Below are 9,861 nucleotides of genomic sequence, written 5' to 3' on the forward strand. Positions count from 1 at the left end.
GCCTGGGGGAGACCCTGGAGACTCCTGAGTTGTGTGACATAAGGGTCAAAGCTGTGGATTCCTTAGCTGTTTAATAGAGACCAGCATTATTATCTCTTGGAATTGTTGTAAGCTGAAACAGCATAATTGCTTAGACAAATTGGAGTGCCAACTCTTGACTTCTTATCTTACTCCCTGTTCCTGCATGGGCATGAGAGCCTTTGTTATAAAAGAAAATACTGGAGGGGCTGGGCATGGTGGCTGACATCTGTAATCCCAGCACTTTGAGAGGCAGAGGCGGGCAGATCACTTGAGGTCAGGAGTTCAAAACCCACCTGACCAACATGGTGAAACCCCGTCTCTACTAAAAATACAAAAACTAGCCAGGCATGGTGGTAGGCGCCTTTAATCCCAGCTACTCCTACTCAGGAGACTGAGGCAGGATAATCACTTGAGCCTCGGAGGCAGAGATTGCAGTGAGCTGAGATAGTGCCATTACACTCTAACCTGGACGACAAAGCAAGACTTTGGAAATTGAAACACGACTTATAGGAATGATGTTAATGGAGCTTGGAGGCAGGAGAAGAAATGAATGGCACAAAGGAGGGGAGGAAGAGGACATTCTTGCCAGAGGAACCCGTGTCCTAAAGGGCCTCTCAGGGGAAGGGGCACAAGGTGTTCAGGAAGCAGCTAGTGTGCGTGACAGGCCGCCCGCCGGGGGCTGGGGGATACACAGGCCCCACCACGGACAAGCTGGGCAGGGCCTGGCACCATGATGTATTGTGCCCTGCTTAGCAGAGTGACAGGAACTTTAAACCACTTCATATAATTTAGGAAGCTTTCTGAAATGAGGACGGTTGAGAGGAAAGGCATGGGGGAAAAAAAGGCAAATTTCTTGTCATATCATTAAAGCTTTCCAAGAGTCTCCAACATATCAAATTATTTGCATTGTTTACGGAGGGCCATGGCTCATGCTTGTAATCCCAGTTTTGGGAGGCTGAGGCAGGAGGATATCTTGAGCCCAGGAGTTCGAGACCAGCCTGGGCAACATGGTGAGACCCCATCTCTATAAAAAGTACAAAAATTAGCCAGGTTGTGGTGGTATGCACCTGTAGTCCAAGCTACTGGGGAAGCAGAGGTGGGAGGATCGCTTGAGCCCAGAAAGTCGAGGCTGCAGTGAGCCAGGATGGCACCACCACACTCCAGCCTGGGTGACAGAGAGAGGCCCTATCTTCAAAAAACAACAAAACAAAACAAAACCAGCAAAACCCCCGTATTCTCTGCATTGTTTCTATTGCCATTTAAAAAATATTATACAACACAATTTTTTAGTTGGAATACATTTTCAGTTTCTTGTAAAGTATTTGAGTATTTCTGCATTTGATGAATGCCTGGATATTTTGAGTTTGCAACATTGTTTAACACATTAGCCAGCTTCAGTGTTTTATTTTCCAAATTACTTGTGTTTTTGCTCATATTTTCTAGTTGAAGAGGGTGACATTTCTACGCATAGTCCCAGGATGGCATTAGGATTTCTGATGCTTTAGTTTTTCTTTTTTTTTTTTTGCCCTTTATTCACATTTTCAAAACAATTCATGTGCTCTGAGATTATTTAGTTTGAGCAGAGAATGGACCCAGAAAGACTTTTTTCCAACATTTTAACTTGGAATGTTTTTGGAATCACCTAAGATCTACCTATTAGCTAGCATTTACTTCCCAAAAGATTAAAGAAAATCCTGGAAAGCGTGTATTTTCCCAAAACCTTATTGAGAAACTTGCATGTCTTTAGTTTTTTAAAAATAGTTCATGAAATCAATTTTTCTGTGATTCTATCCATTTTTACCTTGACCACACATTTATGTGAAATAAACTGGCATTTTTACATAGCCTGCAATCTTAAAAGTATAATGGCAATACAAATTAATCAATATTTAAGAAATGTATAGCCATATGTATACATGTAACATTTTTCAAATTTAATAGGAACAACAGTGATGTTATAAAACATCAGTTAACATTAAAGTATGTCTTGTCTTCTGTTGCTAAATCCTATTACAGGTATTAAAATATTCATCTGACTTACTTAAGAAGGACTATTGATATATGTGTTTTCTAAAAGAAATTTTTGTCTTGAGAAAATGTCCACGTGGCCTGACCCAGTCAGCTTGTCATTGTTGAGTATGATTAGCTGTGTGTGGATGGGCAGTGGGGTGTATTTCCATGTCAGGTGCAATGCGATCTGGGAGATCTGCCTCCCCATTGCAAACCTGTCCTCACAGGTGTGACCAAACAGACGCGCATCTGTGTGTCTCATCTCCCTCAGCAGTACCAGGATACTCTGCCCTGGGATGGAGGTGGGGGCCCTGTGGTTCAAGGAGAGTCTGCAGCAGGTACAAGCTCCTCTGGCTTCTTCCTGCAGTGGGGGCTCCCCCAGGGGCAGGTCAGTGACTAACCCCTGGTGAAAATTCCTAGGCCTTCAGGAAGGGTCTTTCTATAACCACATTTTGAAGGTCTCTTGTGGGGAATGAGTGGGGTGCAACTTGTCCCTAGGCTTATAAACAGACCCTTTTGAAATTACAGACATGTTTTCAACCCCTTAGAACATCATCACTATTATTTTTTTTAATTTTTGCTTCATCGAATATAAGTTTTCTTTTTGTTTTATAAATTAATATTGCTCTCCAATTTTGTTAATATTCAGACATCCAGATTTTTGTGGATAAAATAAAAATTTTGTGCACTGCTTACTGTATTTTTGAAAAACTGATTTTGTTCTTAATGGGAAATTTTGCTTTCCAAGATAATAATAATTTTTTTATGGAAAACAAATGAAATGAATAATTCCCCCAGACATAGTGATGGGAAGTTAAGTTTTACAGAATGAGGACCCTTGGAGCTGATTTCAAGCCACAGAAGCCTGTCGCTTATGGACACAGGTGACAGCCGGGGATCTGCTGTTATCGTAAAAGTAGAAAAGATTCTTTGGACATGAGCTACTTCTCAGGTCTAGCTGTTTAAGGAAAATAAACATTGCATCTCTTGTGATAAATATATGAGTTACGACAGAATAATGACTTTTATTCACAGCTGTGATGTTTCCTGTAATATAAATAAGCAACAGCATGGCACTGCGGTCTACTTTTTGTAAAATATTTCAATAACGCCTCTTTGAACAATCAGTTGGATCAAATCTTAACATGTATCAGTCTGATCTAATTGCTATATTAAATGTGGCATTTTTGTAAAATAATTCCTTTTGATTATATTTTCGAAATGTGTTCCAATCCATCATAGGATTTTAGAAAAAGCTCAGTAAATTGTTAAGTCCAACATTCTCATGTTAGAGAGTATGAAATTGAGACTTGGGTCACATAACTATTCATAGAAAATTTCAGATTTAGTAGTTATGTCAAAATTACTTGCCTCCTAATTATGTCGTCTCTTTCCATCAATAATTATGATGTTCTTGAAACACGTAAATGTCAACAATGAACTCATATGATGGAGTCATATTGACTGAGAACATGTAAAGATCTATTTAACTATGAATTATTGATATGAATGAAAAGTTGTACTAACGAGAAAATCTGTGTCTTTAAAACCTCAGTGGTTTCGTTTGCCCAGGTATTTTTCAGGCCTGGTTGCCATTTCCATTTTGTTTTAACACACATAATTTCTGTACTTTAATCGTTACAGTACAATTTAACCCTTAAAACCGTTTTGGTGAAATAAAAATCTTGAATGTTTCCTCATTTAGACTTGGATAATTATAGGATATGTATAAATTCACACATATATTTATAGAATATCCATGTATTTAATGTTAGGATATATATCATTTTATCAATATTTTATAAGCTTCCTTTTGAAAGATTAAAATCATTTCTTCCAAATGAGTAATTTTTTTTAAAAAAAAACCTTATAATTCCTCCGACAGAATTAATTACTATTTATATTTAAAATTAACCCTTTAATAATACATAAAACATTAGTAACAATATTTGACTTTGAGGCAGTAAAGTGGGTGCCCAAATGTCGAGGATAATCGTACATCTTTTGATACTTTTAAATTTTTAATGTGCATTATTACCTTTTTGAATGAAATCAATTTTTGTATTAAAGTGAAACTCTTTTTAAAGTAATTCTATTAATAGCCCGTTCTTTAATTCCACTCCCTCTATGTCTTCATTTCACAGTTTCACGTGGAAAGAATAATGGCTGTGAGTGGCTGACTCGGGATGCTGGAGGAGAGCGTGGGTGACAGGTTGTGTTAGGCACTTCTCAGTGACCGAGCCAAGGGGCCGGGGCCAGGCTCCCGGTGGAAGAGAGGCCTCTGCCCGGTGCAGGGGACCAGGCACCAGGGTGATGAACAGCGGCCTTCTCCTTCCCTCTCTCCACCCTGCGCTGTGGAAAACTGATCCGGGGCTCTGGGTGTTTGATGATGGGGAAAAGAGGAGCCATCACCTCGACACACCCATGGGCAGGAACAGGAACCCTGCATAGGACCAGCCCATCTGTGCTCCTTACCACTGGGAGCACAAAGTCCACGGGAAGGATTTTCTGTTACAGAACAGCGTGTGCTGGGATTGGAGGTGCTTTTCCCAGCTAGGAAAGCTGGCTTTGGCCTCCAGCGGAGGCTGTTAGGGTTTCGCCTTCTTCCTGCTGGATACCTCTTGCCCCACAGGAGCCACTCCCCAGCCAGGCCTCTGGCTGTCAGCTTTATGATTTTCTGAGGGAGGAACAGCAGGACATATTTATCTTCAAAAAGGTCACAACTCATTTCTGAGTGTACGTTGACATGAAAAGTCGTATATTCTCATTATCCTGAATTCTGAATATTTTTCTTATCACTATTCCCTTATGAGAATTTTTCGTGTTGATGGTTATGTTTAGAAATAGCAAAGCGTCTCCTCTTCCTGTGTACCTACTTCTGGATTTTATGATTCCTATGTATTTCTACTTTGTATGAATTAATTTTCCTCCTTAAAATGCATCCATCTCTGCCTGCAGAGGAAACGTGATGTTTACATACCCTTCATTGCCAATGTATCCCTTGACCCGATCAGAGTTCAGCTGTTGACATGGAGTTACCTTGTAACAGTTCATCTGAATTGTATCTTTAATCTCCTGGACTGCAAAAATAAATAAATAAATAAATAAATAAATAAATAAACAAATAAATAAATAATATTCCCATGTAATCTTTTGTCGTTAATACAGCTTCCGGCTGCTCAAAATTATATTGGTGACTTAAAAGAAGTACCGGATGATGAGAAATCACTACACAATATTGTGATTGAAACTTGTTCCCTGTCAACAACTACAAGGCACAGAGAAACGTGACTGAGGAATTCTGAACTGTTGGAGGGTGTTGAGAGCAAAGCAACACTATTAATCATTGCATGATTCTGAAGTTATTTGACGTTGGGATGGAAGTGTTCATGTTTTTGGAATGACTTTTGAAAATAGAAAAAAATGTTTATTATCCAGTATTTCAACTCTCCTTTAAGGCATCAAAAATGTTTTAATAGAAATAAGTTATATTTCAAACACCAAGATGCTTTTCAATATTTATAACTTTTAAATACCTTGCAAAAATATAAAATAAGAGTGGGATCAGGAAAAGAGTTAAAGCATTTCTAACTTTGAATCATTTTAAAATATGTTTACTTGGAGATCAATGAGCTCCAGAGAAATTCTCTCTCAAGATGTTCAAAGCTTTGAAGATATTATTGGCTATGAGGCACGGTGAAAGTATGCAGTACCTGTTCAATTACGAACCTGGCTCCCTAACAGGTCCTTATTGAAGAATGTTGATTTCATTTTCTAACCCGCACATTCGTCTCATACCATCAAAAGGTAGCACCTTCTGCAGCTGCTTTCAGAAAAAATGCCAACAAACGCCAAGCAAATCACTGTTTTGATGAGATTTTATGCAGAAATTCTTAGGGCCCCAAGAAGACCTAGAGTAATTGTGGGTGGCATTTAGCTTTGAAAGTATTTCTTAAAGTGTATGATAATTTTTGCAAAGTAAGTGAAACATTTAGTCTTCCGTCATTATGATAAATTATATAATATGGGCATAAAATGGAACACATTTAATCTCACAAACATGCAATGGTATTGAAAATTGAAATAGAGCTATTAACATTTAGGATTAGTGATTGTAAACAGTGGTGTGTTTTGACAGTAGTTTTGTTTACCTTTCTCTTTTTAAAAATGTTGCCTGTTTTTGTTCTTTTTTTCTTTTGGCTCTTCAGAATATTTATTCATTTTTCACATAGCATATGAAAGGGAAAGTGACTACTGAATTTAAAAATGAAATTTTTTTAGGAATGCTGAAGTCTTTCAAAAGTTACTGAACATCTATTATATGCTAACTTCTGAAAAACTGAAGTTAAATCAGGTATGATCTTTACCACTATATTTCTTTTTCTAGCACACAGACATATATACATATGTATATGTCTCTCTGTGTGTATGTATATAATCACTTATTTCTTTGAACACTTATGTTCGTATATATGCAATGTGCTGAGCTGGACATTTAAGCAGCTTTACAAATAATGATATATTCAATAGTTCTACACACAAAGAGGTATAAATTATATGAACAGACAAAAAAGTTAACTGGCAACCCCTAGAGTAAGCATTCCAACCAAAGATTTATTATGTTAATACAGAAAACTTCTCAAAATACTGCTATACCTTATTATGTCTTATATAGCAACTATTTTTTCCCCAAAAGCTATTTAGGCACCAGTAACAATATCTTCCTTCTCTTCCTCTCTTTTACTGTGTTTCTCTCCTCTATCTCTCCCCCCAGAGCCACTTCACTGTAATGTCTCCTGAGATCCAGGGCAAATGAAGGACGGGAAAGCCCCCAAACCTTGTGGTCTGTGTCGACGCTGCCTCAGGTGTGCAGAAGATACAAGCAAATGCTGTGGCAGGTGCAAGCTCCCCGCCAGGTCTGCTCTGGCATAAACAGCAGCAAGGTTCTCAAGAAAGGAATTCTACAAGGATAGAGAAAAATACTGTCTAACACACTTAAGACTTTAGTTCAAAATGCTCTCACATATTAGAGTTCCTGTTGGAGATCCCTAGTCTTCTTGGCTTAGAATAGTTTGGTGGTGGGATTGATGCCAGGCCAGTCACTGAGCCGGGTTGTGGAGGGAGCTTTGTTCCTGTGGGATTGGCCCCCGTGTGAATCTGTTCTGTGCTGGAGGCCCCTGCTTGATCGGATCACGAGATTCCATTTTTCTCTTTCAAGCTACCCTTAGCTTTTAAGCCACTGCCTTTCCCCATCAACATCTTGGGCTAAAATGGAATTTATTATTGAAATGTTGGTAAGTAAACATGCATCTGTTGTTCTTAAATCAGTGATTTTCTTCATAATGGTTTCCATGTACACAATAATCTTTCCCTATAAACTACATTTATCCAAAAGGCACACACAGGTTTTTCTGTAAACAGAAATTGGGGCTGAGGTTTTGGGCAAAAAAAAAAAAAAAAAAAAAGAGATGGCCCTTCATCTTTCTTTCATTTCATGCTTCCAAAAGGACAATCATATCTCTTTATGTCTGCCTCACAGCGTCCTTTATTATTAACATCTGTCAGAAGTCACTGCTGTCTGTGTTCCATTCCTTGTGCTTTCATCTCTTCCACGTCTGCTGGATTCAGTTTATAGGTGCCTTCAGGCGCCCTACCCTAACAGTGCAGAAACAACAAAATCACCTTCATCTTTCTTAGTCATGCAACATTCTTTCTAGTTAGTATTTTATTCCTCACTTTTAAAATCCAGATTTAAATAAGTCAATTGCCATTGTCTTTATTTCCTCATCATCCCCTAATGTATCAACACACTGACATCAAGACCTCTTAATACAAAATCCAGTGGAATGCATTCTATGTTCTTTGCACACAATCTTGTTGGACCATACAACTTTGTAAAACATCTTTTCTTGAACATTTCTTCTTCCTTGCTTTCAAAGATACAATTCTACTACTTTTGCTACAATTTCTCTGGGTATTATTTTCCTGCCTTTTTAAGTTTCATCGATTTGTAGCAATGGCACAAACATAAAGTATATACCTTTATGAGTTTCTACATATGTATTCACCATAAATCCAGAAAATTAACATATTCATCACCCCAAAATCGTTTTCTCATACCCGTCTTCCTTCCTCTTCAACCACAATCTTATTTTCATCAGTAAAGGTGTCTTTGCATTTTCTAAATCTGATATAAATGCAATTATACAGTAAGGCACTCTTTTGTGTCTAGCTTCTACACTGACTCTATTTACTTTGGGATTTATTTATGTTGTTGCAGATATCAGTAATTTGCTCCTTTTTATTTTTGAATAGTATTCTATTGTATGGCTATGTTATGAAATTTTAATCCACTTATTTGTTGATAGATCTTTGAGTCGTTTCCTGGACAATAACTTTTAAGGCTGTCCTTAATCATTGATCTCATCTTTGAAAATTTCCCTTATTATTCCTCCTCGTTGACATGACTCTGCTTGGTTAAGTGATCCTACACTGTAACCCACACTTTTTAATTTGCACAACTGCAGCTTTTCTAGACCGGGAAATTCTTTGGTTTAGAAACAAATTGTGTAGGACCAGGCTAATCTGACATTGTCTGCTCCAAAAAGTGGATGTCCAATAAACGTTTTCTGAATGAATGGATTCCCAGATTGTTGGACTGCCAGACAAATGACTATACTCACATGTAAACTACAAAATGAGTGATGGGCTGGCTGGTGACTGGAGCCATATAGGGTTTCCCTGATGGATTTTTGTACCGTCTAATTTAATGTTTCTGAAATGCTGTGGAACCTCTTACACTATTCCTGATTCGCCAACCTGTTCAGGTTTAATATTTTTCAGTCACATTGTGGGTGGTCATCCCTGGAAATCCTGCTCTCCAATTCAGAGGGAAAGAAACAAATTAAACCTTTCAAAGTTCTTCTCTTCATAGTCACAGTCTCAAGCCTCCTCCTTCTTTGAGATTTTGTGTTTTCTTCAAAATCTCTACAGTAAGATTTCCCAGTCTCCACCATCCTTCCCAACTGGAATGTTTCCCACCCTAGTGTTTTTCTCTCTTCCCCCTTCTAGTGCTGCTGGAGCATAGCAATGCCCAGATTTGTGTTTACATGTGAATTCAACCTGATCAGTGCCACGGGAGTCTGAAGAGGGAGGGTTTCATCAGAACCATCCAAGGAAATCCTCCGTGAACCAATGGTGCATTATTTATTTTTCAGCTCTGAAAATGAATACAATGTCTACAATTCATCAAGTCTTCTTCATAATGTTGAAATATTTCTTAATGTCTGTCAGGAATAAACACTCAAAAACGTAAAACATTGCCTGGAAAATGGTAGTATTAATCCATATGTGAGACTAAATTTATTAACGCAAAATGCAGGGGAAGGTTTGTGACTCTCTGAAGGTCTCACTCCTTCCTCATCTTACTCCGACAGTCTCAAGAACTGCAGAGAAAGAGCCCATACCAGTTTCTTTGCTCATGGCAAGGAAAGAAACAATTCTGCTCATGGTGGCAGAAAAGTCCAGGAAACTCTGGGAGCTTTGCACGAGTGAAGAACAGAAATACTATGCAAGAAAGTTAAGGGACGACATTATCTGTGAAACTGAATCAAATTTGTCAATTTGTTCTAAGATTTTCTTCCTTCAATTCATTGGGTGTGGGCGAGAAATGGGCCATCATATCAAAAGCCACGGACCTCTGAATCCAACCTCTAAATTATGATTTAGGATACCAGTTCAACTTCATTGTTGATTCAATAAATGTTTATTGGGTTCCAGTATTTACAGGGCATTGTCCTAGATGTTGGGGCCACAGTGTGAATGAGATGA

Source organism: Homo sapiens, chromosome 8 (genome assembly GCF_000001405.40).
Source record: "Homo sapiens chromosome 8, GRCh38.p14 Primary Assembly".
Lineage (NCBI taxonomy): Eukaryota > Metazoa > Chordata > Mammalia > Primates > Hominidae > Homo > Homo sapiens.